Source organism: Homo sapiens, chromosome 8 (genome assembly GCF_000001405.40).
Source record: "Homo sapiens chromosome 8, GRCh38.p14 Primary Assembly".
NCBI classification, from domain to species: Eukaryota; Metazoa; Chordata; class Mammalia; order Primates; family Hominidae; genus Homo; species Homo sapiens.
This window is the reverse complement of record NC_000008.11, coordinates 123,456,692-123,480,420: the sequence shown is the minus strand read 5'-3', so window position 1 is coordinate 123,480,420 and position 23,729 is coordinate 123,456,692. Positions and strand designations below refer to the sequence as shown.

At 42.3% G+C, this 23,729-nt stretch overlaps 1 protein-coding gene across 10 annotated transcripts in view, besides 2 other annotated features; it reads right to left on the bottom strand.

Moving 5' to 3' along the window:
- Window positions 220-720: an enhancer, noted in NCBI's record as "OCT4-NANOG-H3K27ac hESC enhancer chr8:124491941-124492441 (GRCh37/hg19 assembly coordinates)". NCBI's record gives its function as "activates a minimal SCP1, AML or CMV promoter by ChIP-STARR-seq in naive and primed H9 embryonic stem cells {active_cell/tissue: H9 hESC(naive and primed)}" and the evidence as "EXISTENCE:reporter gene assay evidence [ECO:0000049][PMID:30033119]".
- Window positions 721-1,221: an enhancer, noted in NCBI's record as "OCT4-NANOG-H3K27ac hESC enhancer chr8:124491440-124491940 (GRCh37/hg19 assembly coordinates)". NCBI's record gives its function as "activates a minimal SCP1, AML or CMV promoter by ChIP-STARR-seq in naive H9 embryonic stem cells {active_cell/tissue: H9 hESC(naive)}" and the evidence as "EXISTENCE:reporter gene assay evidence [ECO:0000049][PMID:30033119]".
- The window catches only part of NTAQ1 (N-terminal glutamine amidase 1), a 58,972-nt gene continuing 39,967 nt past the window's right edge, over window positions 4,725-23,729 (bottom strand). For 2 of the 10 annotated variants that reach the window (XR_007060742.1, XR_007060738.1), the window contains exon 8: window positions 4,725-14,438. The gene's annotated coding sequence lies outside the window, so the exon portion shown is untranslated. Of the gene's footprint in view, window positions 14,439-16,947; window positions 20,107-23,729 lie in introns of those variants that run through there. The other 8 variants (XR_002956636.2, XR_007060736.1, XR_002956635.2 and 5 more) reach the window with 5 other exon arrangements.

Genomic DNA, 23,729 nt, shown 5'->3' with positions numbered 1-23,729 from the left:
CTTTTGGAGAGTTTCTATTAAACTTGGAATAAAACCCAATTTCTTATCAAGAGCCACAAAGACCCTGCATGATCTGGTTCCAGTCTCCTCTTATCCTGTTAGGCTCCAGCCACACTCATCCTGTAACCCAGGGTCCCTGGTCTTTGTGGTTACGCTGTGATAGGGTAACCACTTGTAACTGTTGTGCCTTGAGCTTCCGTTGTTCCAGGAAGAAGCCCAGCTATAGCAAAACCAAAACCAGCTGGAAGACAGATGCCTCAGTTAGAGATGAATTTTGGTGAGCTCTCAGCATTACCATACTAAAAAGCCCATCCAGGGAGGAGCTTATTCTCCATTTTCATTTTCTTTTTTTTAAGGAGCGGAGAATTTAATAGGCAAGAAAGGGCAAGAAGGAAGGGAGAAGTAAGAAGCTCCCCTGTACAGAGACAGAGGGAGGGAGGCTCCAAAGCCGATAGAGGGAACCCCACCTGCCACAGATACCAGCTAGGTATATATACAGAGGCTGGAGGAGGCGGTGTCTGATTTGCATAGGGCTCAGGGGATGGGTTTGACTGGGCATGTCGTTCACACAGCCCTCAAAAAAGCTGGTCCTCCCACCCTAGCCTTTTAATATGCAAATGCAGGGCACCATGATGTTCTACACACGTGGGGATACGTGGGGGCGGCCATGTTGCCAGGAACCTGTGGGGAAAGGGCAAGAAGGCCTGCGGGAATCGCCATGTTTGGGCGGACTCAGTTTCTAATGGCTTGCATTTGCATATCAAAGGTTGCCGACCTGGCTCTAGGAGCCGCAGCTTTACAAGAAACTTTTCTGGGGATGCTTTAAAAAACGAAAACTTCCCAAGGACCCCTTTTCCTCTCTATCTGCCTAAAATAATTTCTTAGTAACTCCTATGACATCCCCCCCTGCGGAGAAGCCACACTAACTGCTGTTAGGGGGTTTTGGGCAATGACTCCTTCTGGCTACTTCCTGCTGAAAAAGGGCATCGAATGGGGAACAGCAGCTAGGGCTCCTCCTGGGGCCGATCTAAGGGTCCTCGGAAGAATGGCGTGTCCATGTGTGGTTCAGTTTACAGCACTATTTGGAAATTGATTCCTTCTAGGAGAGAAGAAACAATTTGAGTTATAGTATTGTGTATGCAGGGTCCAAATATCAATACAAGACATAAAAGCAAGAGAGGGCTTAATAAAGGGGTTAACCGATTCCATAAAGAAGACTGGAATTTATTAAAGAGGCATTGTAGCCACTCGGGACTGAAGCCAGCATTTTCCCTGAGCCTGTCGATATTTTTCTATTTACCATTTTCAATACATGCCATGTGTGAAGAAGCAGAATCTGCGCCTGCACCTGCACTACCTTTACCCCACCTTTATATGCAATGACTCAGCCAGTGGCACAATAAAAGCCCTGCTTTCACCTTCATTCCAGGAGACACTACTTTGGGAACTGTCCCCAGTGTTCTTACTTGTTGCAAGTACTAAAACCCCATTGTTACATTCTCCTTCATTGTGGTCACTGGGTTCACAATAGCCCTACAAGGGTATAGCATACCAACTAAGAACATATGTTATATGGAATCATATTGATTTAGGTTCAAATGTCAGTTGCTACTCTTGCAAATTCCTTGTCTGTACTTTCATTTCTTCATCTGTAAAGATGTTCACCCACCAAGCAACTGAACCCAACCATTATATGGGTAACAATCCTCCAGCTCCTCGAACTTGTCAAGCTCTTCCCCACCTCAGAGCTTTTGTGTGTGTTGTTCCCTCTTCCTAGGTTCTTTCCCATCATCTGGTCTTAAATGTCACCTACTACAGGAAGCCTTTCTTTACTACCCCATACAAAGTAGGATCCAGACCCTCCTCCCCATGTCCCAACTCCATTACTCTGTATCTTAACTCTTTGATTATTTTCTTGGTGGCACTTATCATAATTTGCAAAGATTTCTTTTTATTTTTAATTCTCTACTAGACTGTAAATTCCATGAGCAAAAGGATTAAGTCTTACCTAATATTGTGTCCCTACAGGCTTTGAGTCTGAGAAAGCAGGCATTTGGTGCAATATTTGTTACATACGTTATATGGTCATTTTATAGACTCTATGAAGCAATGGTTAATACGGTCAACATTGCAGACTTTATCTCAGTGTAGACCAGTTTCCTTTACTTGTTTACAAACTCTCTAACCCAATCAACTGTCACCATTATTGTATCTTCAGCCTCACTGAAATGCTGCATAATATAAATATATTTAGCACCAATCATCACTACTGCTATTCAATTCTTTTCAAATAATTAGATACTTAAGAGCATTAAGTGCTGCGTGTCTTATTAATACGTCAAGAGGATGAGTAGCATCACCTACTTATATGAAAAACCAGCATTATTTTGCTTACACATGTAAATAATACCTGGAATTAATTGTGATGCTTATCATGGACCTGGGCCTTTGATAAGTTTGTTACATACATTACGTTGTGTCCTGTAATCTTCACAACAGCCCTACAAGGGTATAGCATACCAAGTAAGAACATAGGTTATAAAATCATACTGATTTGGGTTCAAATGCCAGTTATGCTACTGTTGCAAATTCCTTACCTTCTCTGTGCTTTCATTTCTTCATCTGTAAAATGGGGGCAATAGGCTGGGCGCACTGGCTCACACCTATAATCATAGCATTTTGGGAGGCCAAGGTGGGCAGATCACGAGCTCATGAGTTTAAGAACAGCCTGGCCAACATGATGAAACCCTGTCTCTACTAAAAATACCAAAAAAAAAAAAAAAAAAAAAAAAGGTAGGCGTGCTGGTGCATGCCTGTAATCCCAGCTACTCGGGAGACTGTGGCACAAGAATGGTTTGAACCTGGGAGGAAGAGGTTGCAGTGAGACAAGATCATGCCATTGCACTCCAGCCTGGGTGACAGAGAGAGACCCTGTTTCAAGAAAAAAAAAATAATGGGGGCAATAGTAGTAAACACACCTTAGGAATGATTGCTCTGAGGATTAAATAAGATAATGCATGTAATGTGCTTAGCTCAGTGCCTGACACATAGAAAAGTGTTCCATAAATGTCAGCTGTCTCTTCTTAACTTGCTCTTCTGAGGGTCATTTTATGTCCTAAAGCATCAATGTGTCCAGCACAGAGGGAGAATGAGTTCCTGCCCTTTAGGATCACACAGTCAGAGATAGCTGGGAGCACGTTTGCAATCAGAAGAGGACAGCAAACATGTTCTTAGAATGGCTGCATTCACTTTTATGGTCCAAGCATAGTAAACTCATGTTCTCATTTCCTTTTCCACCAAAACAGCTATCTCTGCTCCCTGAAGAGGCCTTGGATTATTATAGTTCCTTAAATTCCCTGAAATTCTCAGGAGAGAAGGAATATTTTTTTAAAGCAAGCACAGCTTGGAGCTAGAAAACAAAAGGTTACTAGGACAATGTAACTCATTTCCTGTTTTTCTCAACTGTCTAGACACAGATCTCATAAGCATTAGCCATGAATCCCACCATCAGGTTAAAAATAGAAGGTTTAAATATGAAATGCTGTGGTGGAGGAAAGATTATAGGTTTCTACCTTTGTCCACAAAATGACTACTTTGAAATAGGATTTTTTACCTTTTTTGTTAGTTGTGCCATAAGTTTTGTGAAGCAATATTTCAATGGCAGGAATAGAGAACACCTTTTTTCTAAAGAATATATTTGCCCCTTGTAAAGCTAATGCAATTTAGGTTTTAAAAGCCACTTGAAGACAAGCTTATGGCAGCCTATCCAAACAAAAAATCTGATCACAATTATAGTACTTGAAACTTTTCAGGTTATTGCACATACCAACATTTAACCTTAAATAAATTTGTGCAACAGAAAATGCATACAGATTTGATTTTACTTTTTCTTTTTTTCTATCTTCTGCCTCCATAAAATTATTAGACAAGTATTTTGTTTTGAACACAGAATTACTCTGTAAAAAAAAAAAAAAAAAAAAAAATTTTTTGAGACAGGGTCTCACTCTGTTGCCCAGGCTGGAATGCAGTGCTGTGATCTCAGCTTGCTACAACCCCTCCCTCCAAGACTCAAGCAATCCTCCCACCTCAGCCTCCTGAGTAGCTGAGACTACAGGAGTGGACACAGCTAACTTCTTTTGTATTTTTTTAGAGACAGGTTTTTGCCATGTTGCCCAGGCTGGTCTCAAACTCCTGGACTGAAACGATCCACCTGCCTCAGCCTCCCAAAGTGCTGGGATTACCACTGTGAGCCACTGCACCCAGCCTGGAAAACAAATTTTTAAAAACTCCTTTAATAATCCATAGGCATGCTGGGCATGGTGTCTCACACCTGTAATCTCGCAACTCAGGAGACTGAAGTGGGAGGACTGCTTGGGCCCAGGAGTTTGAGGCCAGCCTGGGCAACCTGGCAAGACCCCATCCCTAAAAATAAATAAACATATAAATAAAATAATCCATTGGCAGTGTCACACAAGTGTGGAGGATCTACAATGCTGTTTCCCAAACTTATGGAACCGCAAAACCCTTTGATCAGGATAATGCTATTAACAACTCCTAAAATAGTATTCCATGGAACACCAGTTTAGGAAACATGAATTGGATAGTTCCATGATTTCTTTTTCTGGTTCCAGAATTACATAAGGCTAGGTCTCTTCTCTGACAACCTCAGCTATCTGAATTACAACATAAAACTTGAAAGTAAACAAGTACTAATGACTCTGCAATAGTGTAATGGACCTACTCTCTTTATTATTAGGAGATAAGTAGAAGTATGCCTTAGAGATATTCACACATTTACCTTTGAATGTATTCATTGTGGTCCTTAATAGTTATACAGATATATGTTGAAATAAACATAGATTTATAACATATGTATAATTTTATAATACAGAAATTTAAAATTATACAATTTTATAATTTACAAATATAAACATATGTATGTGTGTTAGCATACCTGCATATATTTCCAAACTCTGTCCACTGAGAGGACGCAGAAGCAATGAAACCCCAGTAGCAATGAGACTACTCAATGCCAAGATCTTGGTTCCTAAGTCCATTTTCCAATAAAAGGAATCAGAGTTCTTTGGAGAAAAGATCAATTCCATGGTTGGGGCAAAGAAAGTACAAGATGAGCCTAGATTAAAAAGTAAGCATCAAAAAGCAAGAAAGCACTAAAAATAATGAGGCATGTTGAAAGGATACAGGAGCCAACCTGTTTAAGCTCCTAATGCCCAGAGCTGGAACCACTGGAGCAACAAAATAAATAATGACAGTGTTCGATTATAACCCATAAAATAAAATAAATATTCATCAGCCCATATTGATATAAAAAAATAAATGAGGGAGGAGAATAACTCTCTCTTAGAGAAGAATTCCTATTAATAGAGAAGAAATGAAGGAAACAGAAAATCACTAATAGGCAAATGCCATAGTAATAATTGTGGCAGGCAAGAATCATCCATAGATGCTAAAACTAGTGGGTGAAGGTACAAGAAACAGGATATTTGCATAGTTTTGTTTTTGTTTTTGTTTTGAGACAGAGTTTTGCTCTTATCCCCCAGGCTAGAGTGCAATGGCAGGATCTCGGCTCACTGCAACCTCCTCCTCCTGGGTTCAAGCTATTCTCCTGCCTCAGCCTCCCAAGTAGCTGGGATTATAGGCGCACACCACCACTTTTTGGTAGAGACAAGGTTTCACCATGTTGGCCAGGCTGGTCTCGAACTCCTGACCTCAAGTGATCCGCCCACCTTGGCCTCCCACAGTGCTAGGATTACAGGCATACGCCACCACGCCTGGCAATATTTGCGTAGTTTTAAAGTATTTCCCCAAGATATCTGTTAGTCACTGAGGGAAAAATGGTAATTTAGTGGAGAAACCTGGAAGACACCACTTTAACCCAGAGATCAATGTTAATTTCACCAGTAATAATATATACTAGCATTGTGTACTTCTGGATATGGTGTATGAGAAAGGACACAACATTACTTCTGAGGTATTCTTGCCAAAATTGTATTATCTCAATTTAATCAGAGAAAATACAGACAAAGCCAAATTGGAGGGCATTCTACAAGGTTACTGACCAGCTTTCCTCAGAAGTGTCAAAATCATGAAAGACAAGGAAAAACTAAGTTATAAAAGACTAAGTTTGTCTCCTTCTCATAACTAAGTTCAATTGGAGATCAAGGTTTGGATCCTGGATCAGAAAAAACCGTTAATGGGAAAACCTGCAAATTCAAGTCAAATCTATAGTTTACTTAATAGTATTGTAGCAATGTTAATTTCCCAGTGTTGATCATCATACTGTGCTTATGTAAGATGTTAAACAGTAGGGGAAGCTGGGTGACGAAATATATGGGAATTGTCTGTACTATTTTTGTAACTTTTTTAAGACAAATTATTTCAATTTTTAAAATAACAAATATGTTCACAAGTCAAATATGTATAACTCAGTGTCTTGCATACCAATGATATTAATAATAACAGTAATAATAATAACAATGCAATTTAAAAAAAAAACTTTTACTTCCTGACTAACCATAATGTACCAGGAGCTTTTATATGTGCTCTTTCCTTTAACCTTCACAATTAGAGGTCATAAAGTTAAATAACATAAACAAGATGATATTTCTAGTGAGTGGCAGAGCTACAATGTCAACTTTTGTTATAACCTAGCAGAGAAGATCAAAGTAAATTACTTACCGCTTGAAAGAGACCAAATAGAAACCTAAAATTACGTGGGAATGTTGAATATATGTGCTACATGATTTCTGTTTCTTGCTCATCGTCTAAGACTTCAAGGCATGTCAACAATGTAGAAATTCAAAAATACAGGCCGGGCATGGTGGCTCATGCCTATAATCCCAGCACGTTGGGAAGCCAAGGCCAGATCAGTTGAGGTCAGGAGTTCGAGACCAGCCTAGGCAACATGGTGAAACCGTCTCTACTAAAAATACAAAAATTAGCCAGGTGTGGTGGCATGTGCCTGTAGTCCCAGTTACTTGGGAGGCTGAGGCAGGAGAATTGGTTGAGCCCAGGGCACGGAAGTTGCAGTGAGCCAAGATCGCGCCACTGCACTCCAGCCTAAGCAACAGAGCAAGACTCCATCTCAAAAAAAAAAAAAAAGAATTTCAAGAATACAAATTAATTAATACCCTAGGTGAGTAATGGATGCCTTACTTTCTAAATGATTTTCTACAAAAGTCCCTCAGGGCTGTATGCCTTGGAAGATTTTCCCAGACACTTTCTTACACATTGATTTTGTGATCGGTTGTATGTGATTTAATAATACATGCAACCACCAAATGAGACAAGTTTCATTTTCTCCATTTTTGCAAAAAAAGTAAACTAACTCTCAAGGAGATTGAGAGACCTTCCACTGAACACCTTCCCATCCCCTCACCCCAACAGTTAACAGTTAACAATGGGCATTTTTCTCCATTCAAATGAAGGTAAACTAATATCCAGGGCATCCTTGGATAAGAAAATAGGCGATGAAAGGAAAGAGGGAAGAGGGCAGAGGGGAAGAAGGAAGACACTTTGGCTAATGAGTACACATGAAAGCTCAGCTCAACCACTTAACAGTGATCTGGACAAGTTACTCTCCCTGCCTCTTTCTCTTCCACAGAAAAAGAGTTTTAGTATAGGGGGTTGAATAGCATCTCCCTCAAAATGCATGTCTATCCAGAACTTTAGAATGTGACATGTTTGGAAACAGGGTTTCTGCAAATGTAATTAACTTAAAATAAAGTCATGCTGGATTATGGTGGACCTTAAATCCAATGACTGCTGTTTTTATAAGAGAGGGCACACAGAGAAACAGAGGGAAGGCCATGTAAAATGGAGGCAGATATTGTGGGGAGCCAGCTGCAAGCCAAGGAACACCAGGATTGCCAGGAACCACCAGAAACTAGGGATAGGCAAGGAAGGATTGGACACTTCAGTCCCTGGACAACTTCAGATGGAGCATGGACCCTGTGACACCTTGATTTTAGACTTCTAACTTCCAGAACTATGAGACAATATATTACTGTTGCTTTAAGTCATCAAGTTTGTGGTAATTTGCTGACATCCCTAGAAAATAAAGTAAGCAAATGGGAAGCCATGCCTGTAAAGTGACCAGCAGAGGGCAATTAATAACCCATGAGCCATTTCACCCACTCTGCTTTAGTAAGGAGGAAGGGCAAAGGAGGTCAGGGCTAATTACACATTTCTTAGCTTTGGATATTTTTTAGCACTGTTTGGCATACTTCCTTCCTTTCTGTCCCCACTCACAACTCTCCTGAGTCACTGCCCAGCTGCCAGCAACCCTAAAATCCTGGAAAATAGCCTCTGCCAGCCTTGATGGATAGGAGTGGGGTAAGACCCCTATCAAATAACAGTACAAAGCAACAGGTACAGATTTGAATTAAACTTTCTATCTCTTCAACTAAAAAAGTTCTCTAGGCATGATTATTACTTTTATGGGTTGAATTGTGCTTCCCAAAAAGATATTTTAAAGTGTGATGGTTAATTTTACGTGTCAACTTAACTGGGTCATGGGGTGCCCAGATATTTAATCAAACATTATCCTGGGGGTTTGTGTGAGAGTGTTTTTGGATGAGAGTAACACTTATATTGGTAGACAGAGTAAACCAGATTACCCTCCCTAATGTGGGTGGCCCTCATCCAATCATTGAAGGTCTAAATAGAATAAAAAGCTCATTCTCCCTTGAGTAAGAGAGAGTTTCTCCTTGACTGCCTTTGAGCTGGGACATTAATTTTTTCCTGTCTTTGTACTTGAACTGAAACATCAGCTCTCCCTGGGTCTCAAGCCTGCTGGACTTCAGACTGAAACTATACCATTAGCTCTCCTGGATCTCAGGTCTTTGGACATAGCCTGGAACTAAACCACTGGGTCTCCAGCTTGTTGATTCACTATGCAGATCTTGGGACTTTCCAGCCTCCATAATCATGTGAGCCAACTCCTTATAATAAATTTATTTCTATCTATAGAGACGGAACCATCCTATTGGCTCTGTTTCTCTGGAGAACCCTGACTACAACAAAGTCCTAATACCCAGTACCACAGAATGTGACCTTACTTGGAAATCATGTTGTTGCAGATGTAATTAGTTTATTTGAGATGAGGTCACAGTGGAGTAGAGTGAGCCTTTAACCTGGTATGACTGATGTCCTTATAAGAGGAAGCAGAGGCAAGGCATGGTGGCTCACACCAGTAATCTCAGCACTTTGGGAGGCCAAGGCAGGAGGACTGATTGAGCCCAGCAGTTCGAGACCAGCCTGGGCAACATAACAAGACCCCGTCTCTACCAAAAAAAAAAAATCTTTTTTTAATTTGCCAGGCATGGTGGTGCATGCCTGTAGTCCCAGCTACTTGGGAGGCTGAGGCAGGAGGATCACCTGAGCCCAGGAAGTCAAGGTTGCAGTGAGCTATGATCATGCCACTGCACTCCAGCCTGAGCAACAGCGTGCTATCCTGTCTCAAAAAAAGAAAAAAAAAAAAGAAAAAAGGAAGGAGAAACACACAGGGAGAGGATGACGATATGACTTTGGAGGCAGGGATGGGAGTGAAGCATCTACAAGCCAAGAAACACCAAGGATTACCACCAAACACCAGAAGCTAAAAGAGGCAAGAAAGGATTCTCCCCTCTAGTTTTCAAATGAAGCATAGGCTTGATGACACCTTGATTTTGGACTTCCAGCCTCCAGAACTGTGGGAAAATAAACTTCTATTGTAAAAACAACTGGGTGTTTAAAAAGCACCCAGTTTATGGGACTTCATGCACAGCACTAGGACACTTATACAATTACTTTTTAAAGGTGGTGTGTCTGGCCTCCAAAAGTTGTCTTATGAAATAAGTGAATACAGTCAACACAGGTTCACTTTTAAGCACCTACCTGGTTATTCTCCACTTACACACTCCACTATTCTCACTCTTTGGGACACTGACTCCTTCAGACACCTGGTTGTAACCCTCAGCCTGTAGGGCCTCATCCCTTTTATTCTCCAGTTATAAAATGCGTCCATCTCATCAGTGATTTGCCCTTAGCAAAGATAAGTGAACACAGGGACTGCGGAGGCCACGGTAACAAGTTCACGAACCCTTGAGAGGATGAACAGCATCTCACTGTCCCTTATGCCTTGTATTAGTCTGTTTCGGCTGCCATACAAAATACCATAGACTGGGTGGTGGCTTAAACACAGGAATCCCAGCTCTGAAGCCTGGAAATTTCAAAATCAAGGTCCAGCAGGCTTCAGTTCCTAGTGAGGACCCTCTTCTTGGCTTGTAGATAGCTGCCTTCTTACTGTGTCCTCATGTGGCAGAAAAAGAGAAGAACCTCTCTTGTCTCTTTTCTTATAAGGCCACTAATCCCATCATGGGGACCACACCTTCATGACCTCATTTATATCTAATTACCTCCCAAAAGCCTCACTTCCAAATACCATCACATTGGGCGTTAAGGCTTCAACATGTACATTTTGGGGGACACAAACATTTAGTCCATAACATGTCTCCCCAAACTTCTAGCAGAGGGAGGGCAGGCAATACATGTTTGTTGATGCTTCTAACGGAAGACGAGATTCTGCATAGACTCACAGACAGCAGAGACTTGCCTCTTATACACACCTATATTGCCTTGGCTAGTTAGTGCCCAGAACATAGTAGACGTTTGATAATCACTTTTGGTGAATGAATTAGTAAAACAACTGCTGCTCTTTGGCATTGATGGCATTTGAAGAAAAGGTTTAACTAGGTCTCCATCTAAGTCTCAAAGTTTTATTCACATTTTAGTATTTTTATTTTGACCTCTCCACCTCACTCAAAAGATCAGTACATGCTCCCAAATCTATCTTATAAAAGAAGAATTCTGTTATTTTGTTATTTTTCCTGCAGTTAAAAAAATTAACATTAGAAGGGAGAAGACAAACAAAAAGGAGTAAGTTCACATTATCAGTGGGATCTTGGATTCCATGGTGTAGGTAAATTTGTAGGGCTGTTTCACAGGATGAATAACCAGCCTAGTCTCTTGTCTGTAAGCTTGACCAAGGCTTACTTTTCCAAGATGTTAAAGTTCACTCAAACCGTATTTCCTCCTACAGGCTTAAACAAATGAAAAAACATATTTCCAATGATTTCTTGGTATGACACTAAATGCATAGGCAACAAAAAGCAAAAGTAGACAAATGGAATTATATCAAACTTAAAAACTTTTGTGCACCAAAAGATACAATCAATATAGTGAAAAGGCAACTTATGGAATTGAAGAAAATATGCTCATATAATACATCTGAGAAGGGACTAATATCTAGAATATATAAAGAATTCCCTCAACTCAACAACAAAAATCAAATAACCCAATTAAAAAACGGGCAAAGTACTTGAACAGACATGTCTCCAAAAGTGATATACAAATGGCCAACAAGCACATGAAAAGATGTTCGCATTACTAATCATCAGAAAAATGCAACTGAAAACCACAAGGAGATATCACCTCACTCCCATTAGGATGCCCACTATGAAAAGAAAGAAGGGAGACTGTATAACAAGTGCTTGCTGGTAAAGACATAAAGAAATTAAAACACTTGTGCACTGTTTGTGGAATGTAAAATGGTAGAGCCCATGGAAAACAGAATGGAGGTTCCTCAAAAAATTAAAAATAGAATTACCAGCAACTATATGACCAGCAATCCCATTCCTTGATATATATCCAAAAGAACTGAAAACAAGATCTCACAGAGATATTTGCACATCTATGTCGCTTGCAGTATTATTCACAATAGCCAAGAGGTGGATGGAACCTAAATGTTCAGTGATGGAAAAAATGATAAAGCAAATGTGATATATACATACAATGGAATATTATTCAGTCCTTCAAAATAAGAAAATCCTATCATACACTATAACATGAATGAAACTGGAGGACATTAAGCTAAGTAAAATAATGCAGATAAATGCTTTATGATTCCACGTATACGAGGTATCTAAAGTAGTTAAACTGATAGAAACAGAAAGTAGAATGGCAGTTAGTGGGGGGATATGGAGAGAGGAAAATGGGGAGTTGTTTGATGAGTACAGAGTTTCCATTTGCAAGATGAAAACTTCTGGAGATCTGTGGCATGATGATGCAAATATACTTAACACTACTGTACACTTTAAGATAGTGAGTTTTATGTTATATTTTTACCATAAATAGATAAATACATAAATAAAGTTTTGAATTTATTGGTGCTTAGGGTAGGAGGAAGCTTATTCCCTACCCCACTACCCCCTTTGGGGGCCACGCAAGAATCCCTATCTCCTGAGGCCCTTTCCCAACTCACCTCCTGACATCATGGTGGGCATCTCCTTGATCTGGCCTCCTGCTTCAGTTTGTTTACCTCTCATTTAGAGATCCTGAACCTCCAGCACTTTGGGAGGTGAAGGCGGGTGGATCACTTGAGGTCAGGAGTTCGAGACCAGCCTGACCAACATGGCAAACCCTGTCTCTACTAAAAATACAAAATTAGCGGGGAGTGGTGGCTGGCGCCTGTGACCCTAGCTACTTGGGAGGCTGAGGCAGGAGAATCGCTTGAACCCGGGAGGCAGAGGTTGCAGTGAGCCGAGACCGTGCCATTGCACTTCAGCCTGGGCAACAAGAGCAAAACTCCATCTCTAAATAAACAAATAAAATAAAAATAGATACCTTGAACCTGTCTCTCATATTCACTGCTCCTCTGGCCCTTGCCTCTCCCTTTCTTCCTTGCTCACAATTCTACAGGATTTGGTCTGGTTCTAACTGCTCCAAGGAACCCTCTGGAACCTGGATATGAATGGCCAGTAATTAATTTATGAAATCAGACCCTCAGCTACATTCTATACTCAAGATACTAAAGCCAAGCTTAAAGACATTGATAAAACACTTAATGCAAGAATTATTTTATGAAAACACTTTAAAAATTATTTCAAACATCAAAATGGTACTTAAATCCCATTACATTAACAATCTCATAACACTATCTCATGCCATTGAATATGTGATAAAACCTTCATACAATATCTGGTGGGAATGTAAGTTGGCACAAACATTTAGAAAAGCAATTTGGCGGCCGGGCGCAGTGGCTCATTCCTGTAATCCCAGCAGTTTAGGAGGCCAAGGCAGGTCGATCACTTGAGGCCAGGAGTTCAACACTAGCTTCACCAACATGGCGGAACCCCATCTCACTAAAAATACAAAAATTAGCCGGGCATGGTGGTGCATGCCTGTAGTTCCAGCTGAGGGAGGCTGAGGATCACTTGAACCCAGGAGGCGGAGCTTGCAGTGAGCCGGGATCACGCAACTGCACTCCAGCCTGGACAACAGACTGAGAAAAAAAAAAAAGGAAAAAGAAAGAAAGAAAAGCAATTTGGAATATGTTTCAAGAACCACAAACATTTCCTGGTCCTTTGACCTATTAATACCATGCTCAGGAATTTGCTCTAAGGAAAATTATACTATTAAAAAAAGAACTTATATATAGAAGATGTTTATTTCCAAGTTATTTATGTAACTGATAGGGTAACATAATCAAAATGCCACTTTATTGTTTTTCTTCCATCATCCCTTTACTGTAAAATGGTATCGCCCATGGAAAACAGAATGGAGGTTCCTCAAAAAATTAAAACTAGAATTACCAGCAATTATATGACCAGCAATCCCATTCCTTGGTATATATCCAAAAGAACTGAAAACAAGATCTCAAAGAGATATTTGCACATCCATGTATACAGTTTGCCAGGGGGGAAAAGGGAGGAGGGGCAGCAGGAGAAAAGAATCTTGTCCTCACTCCAGATGAAAACAATTGCAGGCTCCTGCCTGCTGTGTCACTTTCAAGTAATGACAGTCTGATGGTCACATCAAGTCACAAACATGGTCTTACTAGAGTAATTCAGTGAGTCAGTTCATTCTATTCATCAACAATTCCATTTTCACTCAAAAGATTTCTTCCCCTTCTTTGCGAGAGCTGGCAGTTCCCAGGGAGGTGAGGGGAAAGTAGTCATTTTCTTCTGTCTTGCACCATGCGCCATAATCCTCCTCCACTCACTAGCTACTGGCTTGGATCCCATGCCCAAATGGACAGACGGCAAAGAGGTAAGTGGTTATGTCTGGAGCTACTTTAATTGGCTTCTGAGTGGCACAGTTGTAAGCTGACTTCCTGCTCACTGGGCTTTGCAGCTATATAAAGCTGCCTCTCACTTGGGGCACTTTTCTTGGGATCTTTGGTGATTCCCATCTCTGGGAACCTCTCCAGTTGTAATTCTCAGAACAAGGGAGAAGCATTCCATTCCAGCTGCTATTGCCCTCAGCCCCTGGTTCTCTGGCAATCCCGTCCACTCAGACTTCACTCTTTGGCTTCCTCTCACCCTCCCAGAGGGTCCTCTTGGACAGGATTTAAAATGACTTTCATGCAGAATGACAAACTGTGAATGGGTATACAACAGAATACAACTCTAAGTTATAGAGAAAGAATGAACTACTGACACAGGCAACAATATGGATGGAACTCAAAGATGTCATGCTGGCTGGGTGCAGTGGCTCACACCTGTAATCCCAACACTTTGGGAGGCCGAGGTGGGTGGATCGCTTGAGCCCTGGAGTTCCGAGACCAGCCTGGGCAACATGGTGAAACCCCATCTCTACTGAAAACACAAAAATTAGCCTGGCATGGTGGCGGGCGCCTGTAATCCCAGCTACTCAGGAAGCTGAGGCACAAGAATTGCTTGAACCCAGGAGGCAAAGTTTGCAGTGAGCCAAGATCGTGCCACTGCACTCCAGCCTGAGTGACAGAGCAAGACTCTGTCTCAAAAAAAAAAAAAAAAAAAAAAAAAGATGTTATGCTGAGTGAAAAAAGCAATCTCAAAAGGGTACGTACTATACAATTCCATTTACAGAACACTCTTAAAATGACAAAATTCTGGTGATAGAGAACAGATGAGTGGTCGCCAGGGGTTAGGGTTGGCAGGAGGGCCTGACTACAAAGCTTTAGTATGAGGGAGTTTCTCTGCAGTGACGGAAGCTGGTGACGGTGTCCTTGTTTTGGTAGTGATTACACATATCTATATGTGTGACAAGATTTCACAGTACTGTTTATACACATGCACACACAAGAGCATGTCAAAATTCATGAAAATCAAGGTCTATAGTTTAGTTCACAGTATTGTGTCAATGTCAATGTCAATTTCCTAGTTTTGAAAATGTACGGTGGTTCTACATTATCAATGGGGAAAGCCAGATGAAGGGTACATGGAACTCCCTTTTATTTTTGCAATTTCTTCTGAGTCTTAAATTCGTTCAAAATAAAAGGGTTTTAAAAATGGCTCTGGCTCAGTATCGTCTCTCCCCTGGGGCCCACACTTTTTTTTCCTGAGACAGAATCTGTCTCTGTTGCCCAGGCAGGAGTGCAGTGGTGTGATCTGGGCTCACTGCAACCTCCATCTCCCAGGTTCAAGTGATTCTCGTGCCTCAGCCTTCCAAGTAGCTAGGATTACAGGCGCATGATACCACACCCAGCTAATTTTTATATTTTTAGTAGAGACAGGGTTTCACTATGTTGGCCAGGCTGGTCTCGAACTCCTGACCTCAAGTGATCCGCCTCCCAAAGTGCTGAGATTACAGGCGTGAGCCACAGTGCCCAGCCAAGGGCCCACATTTAAGTCCCAGGAAACACTCTCTCATCTCTTGCCCCAACAAACCCTGGGAACACAGGACCAAACCCAGCCCTCTGTGTCCTGCTGCCACAGGCCACTCTAGCCAGTTACATATTTCTCAACCATAGGAAATATGTAAGTTAAATATGTGGTCCTATCAGAGCCCCCATCGTACCCTTGAGGTGAAGGTGGTAGCACTCCTGGCCCTTACCCCTGGGGAGGGAGAGTGGAGGCACAGCCTGGCAATGCTCTCTCCAGTGGCGTCTCTCTACCCTTCCTCCTCCTCATGCCGCTGCCACTCTGACCTCTCGTGTATTCAGTCTGAGGGCATCCAGGGTTAGGCAACATGTTCACGAGCATTTCCCTGCTGTTATGGATGCTGTGGTCCCTGCCCAAATATCCCCTTCAGGCCCTCATTTCTATTCCAAGTCTCTCTGAAAATTGCTCTAAGCTGAAGGGAGTTACCGTGATCACATCTCTGTCCCAGGGGCAACCTGCATCCATTGACTGGTCCCTTTAGGGGTATAAAGACCCAGCCTCCTTGCTCCAGAAGGGAACAACTCTGCAAGACCATCTCTATTAGTCTGTTCTCACACTGCTAATAAACACATACCTGAGACAGGATAATTTATAAAGGAAAGAGGTTTAATGGATTCACAGTTCCACATGGCTAGGGAGGCCTCACAATCATGGTGGAAGGTGAAGGAAAAGCAAAGTCACGTCTTAACATGGCGGCAGGCAAGACAGCATGTGCGGGGGAGTCCCCTTTATAAAACCATCAGATCTCGTGAGATGTATTCACTATCATGAGAACAGCACAGGAAAGACATGCCCCCATGATTCAATTACCTCCCACCAGGTCCCTCCCACGACAAGTAGGAATTATGGCAGCTACAATTCAAGATGAGATTTGGGTGGGGACACAACCAAATATCACCATCCCAGCTCTAGAGGTCTCTGGGGATTGGCTGAGTAGGGATTGCATCACAGTTCAACACCTCCCTGTGTCTCATCCTGCTTCCTTTCTTCCCCCTTAGCTGCTGAGCCCCAAACACTCCCCCAATAAACTGCCTCCATACAAATGTCCATCAAGAGCCTTTTACGAGGAACCTAACCTGTGACACTTGATGAATTCTGTATACCACGTCAATCTCACACTCACTTTGGATTCTGATATCTATTTAATTGGTGCCTGAGTCAAAACTGAGAAATGGGAAGTCCCACTTAACATCATGGTATACTTATAATAGGAATAAACAATATCAATCAAAGAGAAACTTAATAAAGCATGGCAAATCAACTTTATGAGTTATTCAATAGACGGTAAAAAGTATAAGCATTTCACAGCAAAATATTCCAGAAGAATAACTGTGATCTAATATTAAGAGAACACAAAATTTATTTTGGATTGAAACCAAAAAAAGCAATAAAGAACATCTTGGGGATATCTGGAGAAGTTTGAATACAGACCACATATTAGACATCATTGTTGCATCAATGTTAAGTTTCTTAGACGTGATAATAATATCATCATAAAGCAGAAGAATATCTTTCTTAGGAAATCCTTCTGAAGTATTTATAGGTGAAGTCTCATGATATCTGCAACTTGCTTTCAAACTGTTCAAACAGAAAAATGTGTTTTTCAGTGAGAAAGAGAGAAAGAAAAAGTGTTCTTCCCTACAAAGAGCAGGAATAGTCACTTCCTGGAGCCACCGTATTCCCATTCCTGTACTAAATGCTCCCCCTGGTGTACCAAGAGAGCAGAATGCATTCATTAAGATGTATTTCAAAATGCCCTTCACAGTGGGAAAGCAAAGCCCCAAGACTTTTACAGAACGTGATCAAAGTGTCAGACTTTTTAATTTATCTTCTCCCAAGTCCTAACCAACAGTGTAGTTCCTGTTCCCCAGTTTGCTCTCTATGGTGTCAAAATCTTGAGTTTCAATTCTGGTGAATTGGGGGCATGCTTGGGGAAGGAGTGAAGAGAAGGGTACCTGTAGCCATGCCCATGAATGCATGAGCTCTGGAGTCAAACAGTCAAATGAATCCCACTTTGGCCACTTACTAGCTGGGGGACCTCTTTGAGTGTCCGCTTCGTAATCTGTGAAGTGGGAATGATAACAGGACTCATATCAAAGAGGATTAAATGAGATAACACAGACCAAGACTTAGCATGGGGCTTGGCACATGGTCTAATTAGAATTCAATAAGTAGTAATCAATTATTATCATCTCCTTCTTTTTGAGGAGGCTTCTAAGAGAGTGCCTTAGAAGTCCTAGTGCCTTGTGTACTTCAAAAACTACTGCCCTAGAGTATCTGAGTTGTAGACTTAACTCTGCTGAGAAAATCCACCCAATGTTCTTTCTACAAAGTTATAATAACTAATCTCATATTAAAAACAAAACACAGGCCCAGCACGGTGGCTCATGCCTGTAATCCCAACACTTTGGGAAGCTGAGGCAGGCAGATCACAAGAGGTCAGGAGTTCAAGACCAACCTGGAGAGCATGATGAAACCCTTTCTATACTAAAAATACAAAAAAATTAGCCAGGCGTGGTGGCATGCACCTGTAGTCCCAGCTACTCGGGAGGCTAAGGCATGAGAATCGCTTGAACCTGGGAGGAGGAGGTTGTAGTGAGCTGAGATCACGCCACTGCACTCCAGCCTGGGTGACACAGCGAGACTGTCTTAAAAAAAATTTTTAAAAAGAAAACCTCCCTTTTAGGGATACATGCACTGAAAAATATTTTTTCACTAGATTTCCCTGTCTCACACATTATTTCCAAGAAAAATGATTTTTTAAGTTCTGTAATTTTCTGCTCACCCGTGGGCCTCCTGGGCTTTTGCCTGTGACACTCTAGCCATAGCCTCCTCCAAAGCAAGTCACTCTTGTGCCCCATGTCAAGAAGGAGCACAAGAGTCTCTCTCCTCTGCCCCAATTTCATGCTCCCATCTCCTCTTCCCCTCACATACTTCCTCTTGCTCTATCTCCTTTCCTTTCAATAAATCCTTATTAAGCATCTACTCGCTGAAAGACACAGTTCCTGCTGTTCTTGAATATACAAAGTTATCAAGGTCATAGTTCTGCTTTTTATGAGTTTATGGTCTAATAGGCCAGACTCCTGCAGGAAAGCCCAACATGTGAAAGGACCTAGGGTGTCATTATAGCAGATACTAAGCATGGTAGAGCAGAAGACAACACCAGGCTGGGGCTAAGGAAAGCTGGGCTAAAGTCCTAGATTTGTTACATACTGGATATGTGAGCTTGAGCAAGTGAAATAACCTCTCGGGGTGTAGATATTATCATCTGGAAACTGCATTGGGTTGAGTTTCCCCAATGCATGCCTTGAGACAGGAAATTCGGTAGAAGTTGTTTATTTGGTAGGTGATCCTAGGAAACACCAGTAGGGAGTGGGGACGTGAGTCAAGGAACAAGGAAGCCAGCCAGGTCACTGAGCAGGTGCCAAGAGGATAGGCTGTTGTGGGCAGCTGGGGACCAAGGCTGCTGGGGACCCTGGGAGATGGTGCAGCGTCTAGCCCAGAGTTGTACCCTCCAAGGAGCAAGAAAGCTAAGCCACTTATCCACCTACTCCCACCCATCAGGGCTGAAGGCTGCTCCAGAATGTATTAACTCCATGCTTCCCGCCTGCCCAAGCCAGGACCAAGTGTGTTAGGTCACTTAGGCAAGGAATAGTAAGGAGGGTGCCTATGGAAAGCAGGGATTGACAGCATCCATACACCACCTGCAAACACTGTACGGAGGAATACATGAAAGAAAGATTCCAAAAGCTCAGAGCAGAGTACCTGACAGAAGTGTGAAATGTGCCTGAATGTAGAAGTCAGACGGCACGCCTCCTCAACTCATCTCTGGATGCTGGCGCATGTTATTATTCTCTCCTTGCTTCCTTTGCAACGTTCAGCCAATACAAACTCCACTACGTCGTCAAACCAAACCTACCAAGTCCATTCTTCCCTCATTTCACTCCCAACCCCCTGCCACTGCATGCAGGTCTCCCCCAGCTGGTCTCCACTGACCCTTCTGCCAGCCCAAACCTGTCCACCACAGCCAAAGGACACTGCAAAACGCTGGTCTTCTCACATCTGATGTTGAAGAGCTTACCCTGACCGCTTTTTTCCTACAAGATTCAGCCCTACATCACATCTTGTGGTTCAAGGCTGTCCAGTAGTAAAGACATCCCGTGTGCCACAGACAGCCCACTCCATCTTTTCCCCTTGGCTCTCACCTCTGCAATATGCCCCTCCTTAGACCCAAGACCAGCACAAGAAGCAATGCCCTCATTTTGCCTTTGGATTTATTCCAGTGTGACTGAATCTCCACTTTATGGTGTAGTGATTCTGGAGTCAGGCCCAGGTTCAAATCACATTCCTTTACATATTAACTGTGCTACTTTGGGCAAGTTGCCCACTCCCATTTCTTCATCTGAAAAATAAGGATAATAATCATTCCTACTTCATAAGGTTATTGTAAGGACTAATAATTTCATGCCCAATAAGTAGTTTTGAGCAGTGCCTGGCACAAAATGAGTACTCCATACATATTATCTGTCATTAGGGGTTCTCTCAAGGTACTATTTAAGATTTTTTTTTTAAAGAAATCAAGAGATATCTGCTGTGAAATAAAAATCACGTACATTGGGCTGGGCGCAGTGGCTCATGCCTGTAATCCCAGCCCTTTGGGGGGCCGAGGCAGGCGGATTACCTGAGGTTGGGAGTTCGAGACCAGACTGATCAACATGGAGAAACCCCGTCTCCACTAAAAATACAAAATTACCCAGGCATGGTGGCGCATTCCTGTAATCCCAGCTACTTGGGAGGCTGAGGCAGGAGAATCGCTTGAACCAGGAGGCGGAGGTTGCGGTGAGCTGAGATCGTGCCATTGCACTCCAGCCTGGGCAATGAGTGAAACTCCATCTCAAAAAAAAAAAAAAAAAAAAGAATGATGTATATTGGTCTCCACCCCAAGTTCCTGGCACAGAGCTTCGAAAACCCTTGTGATTTCCTGAGCAATAGGGGTTCTAGGAGAAACTTTTGTTGGAATTATTGGGTCTCTGCCCCAGGTACCTGAGACAGAGCTCTTAAACCTTTGATTTCCTGAGTAATAGGAACACCTGACTTAGAGTTCCTGAATCCCTTGGAATTTTTCTGAGGAACATCTTTTTTTCTAATAAGGGGACTCTTGGTGAGCTCCTGGACAGGGGCTGCTCACTGGAAAGACTAAGCAATGATTAGAAGCTTGGAGCTTTCAGCCCCATCCTCCATTCTTTAGAGATGGGGAAGGGCTAGAGACTGAATTAATCTTCCATCATGCCTACCTGATGAAGCCGAAGTACTGAACTATGGGGTTCAGAGAGCTTCCGGATAGCAGAACACGTCCATGTGCTGGGAGGGTGGTGCACCCCAACTCCATGGGGACAGAAGCTCCTGCACTCAGGACCCTTCCACACCTGATCTCTTCATCTGGCTGTTCATCTACATCTTTTTTTTTTTTTGAGACAGGATCTCACTCTGTCACCTAGGCTGGAGTGCAGTGGCATAATCACGGCTCACTGCAGCCTCGACGTCCTGGGCTCAAACAGATCCTCCCACCTCCTGAGTAGCTGAGACTACAGGCACACACCACCACATCTGGCTAATTTTTTCATTTTATTTTATTTATTTGAGACGGAGTCTCACTCTGTTGCCAGGCTGGAGTGCAGTGGCACGATCTCGGCTCACTGCAACCTCCGCCCCCTGGGTTCAAGCAATTCTTTTGCCTCAGCCTCCGGAGTAACTGGGACTGCAGGCATGCCACCATGCCCAGTTAATTTTTTTGTATTTTTAATAGAGGTGGCTCACGCGTGTAATCCCAGCACTTTGGGAGGCCGAGGCGGGTGGATCACGAGGTCAGGAGATCGAGACCATCCTAGCTATCACGGTGAAACCCCATCTCTACTAAAAATACAAAAAATTAGCCGGGCGTGCTGGCGGGCGCCTGTAGTCCCAGCTACTCGGGAGGCTGAGGCAGGAGAATGGTGTGACCCAGGAGGCGGAGCTTGCAGTGAGCCGAGATCGCGCCGTTGCACTCCAGCCTGGGCAACAGAACGAGACTCCGATTCAAAAAAAAAAAAAGAAAGAAAGTACCAACTATTTTTCCTGTCTCACACATCTGCTAAAAAGGTTTTCTCTCTTCGCATGAGCTCATGGGCTTTCTGAGCATTTCTGTACCCAGATCGCAGCTTAATGCCATATATGCCACAGAAACACACCCCTGACCAGCACACAGACAGCTACTTAGCTGTTTAATGGTTTCACCTAGACTCACAATTTCAAGGTCTCACTTTCACTCACAGCAGCCCAATCAAAGGGTTAGAATTGGTAAACAAACAGGCTCGGAGCGGTATAACAGAAAAATAATTTCTTTTGGCTTTTCTTGCTCTTGGTCAATGAAACTTTGATCAGAGAGAACATCTGAGGCTATACTTGTTTCAAGTTGTGTTTGTTTGAAAAAAAAAAAAAAGTTAGCCAGGCACAGTGGCTCATGCCTGTAGTCCCAGCACTTTGGGAGGCCAAGGTGGGAGGATTGCTTGAGTCCAGGAGTTCCAGACCAGCCTGGGCAACATAGCAAGACCTTGTCTCTACAAAAAAAAAAAAAAAAACAGTGAGGGGAAGTGTGATTTATTTGTTTTTTTTTTTTATTTTAAATCTTTTTTTTTTTTTTTTTTGAGACAGAGTCTTGCTCTGTAGCCCACGTTGGAGTGCAGTGGCATGATCTTGGCTCACTGCAACCTCCACCTCCCGGGTTCAAGCGATTTTCCTGTCTCAGCCTCCCGAGTAGCTGTGACTACAGGCACATGACACCACGCCCAGCTAAATTTTGTGTTTTTAGCAGAGATGCAGTTTCACCATATTGGTCAGGCTGGTCTTGAACTCCTGACCTCAGGTGATCCATCCGCCTCGGCCTCCCAAAGTGCTGGGATTACAGGCGTGAGCCACTGCGCCCAGTCAATTCTACCCTTAATAAGTAATATATTCACAGGGCTTACAACACTTAAAAACACAAAAGGGTACACAATGAAGTTTCCCTCCCTCCCGTGACCCTAGCCACCCAGTTCTCTTCTCAGAAGCAACCAATATTACCAATTTGGTACTGGATACTGGATATTCCTATAGATATTCTGTACAAATATAAGCAAATACACGTTTTTATCTTTTAGTACAGATTTCCACTTGCTCTTTAAATTTAATTGTATTACATATATAATATAGGTTTATTACATATTTAATATAGGTTTAATTTGAAAGTAAAGGCAAAAACTGCAATTACTTTTGCACCAACTAATACATACAAAAGAATATTTATATCATGTTTAAGATTTTTTTTTTAATTTTGGCTGGGTGCAGTGGCTTATGCCTGTAATCCTAGCACTTTGGGAGGCCGAGGCAGGCGGATCACTTGAAGTCAGGAGTTTCAGACCAGCCTCGTCAACATGGGGAAACCCCGTCTCTACTAAAAATACAAAAATTAGCTGGGCATGGTGGTTCACAGTTGTAATCCCAGCTACTTGGTAGGCTGAGGCAGGAGAATTGCTTGAACCAGGGAGGCAGAGGTTGCGGTGAGCCGAGATTGTGCCACTGTACTCCAGCCTAGGTGACAGAGGGAGACTCTGTCTCAAAAATATATATATCTATATGTATAGATAGATTTTTTAAAAAATTTTAAGCCATCACTCAGCTTAAGAAACATAAACATTTCATCAGCCCCCAGTTGATAAGCCTACAGATGGTTTCCAACTTCCTGTTGTTATGCCCACAGCTACAATGAGTTTCCTCGTGTATCCACCATTTTATATGCGTGCAGTATATATCTGTAAGATAAATTCCTAGATGACGAATTCCTAAGTCAAAGGGGATGGTCACAGGTCATTTCTATAGATAAATATCTGGATTGTCCTCCACAGAAATTGAAAAAAATTGATTCGTTTGTTTCTGAAAGTTTCCAAGATGCCTAGAAGTCTAACAGGTGTAAAAATCATTTAAGTGACAGAAGACAGGAAAGCAAAAGGA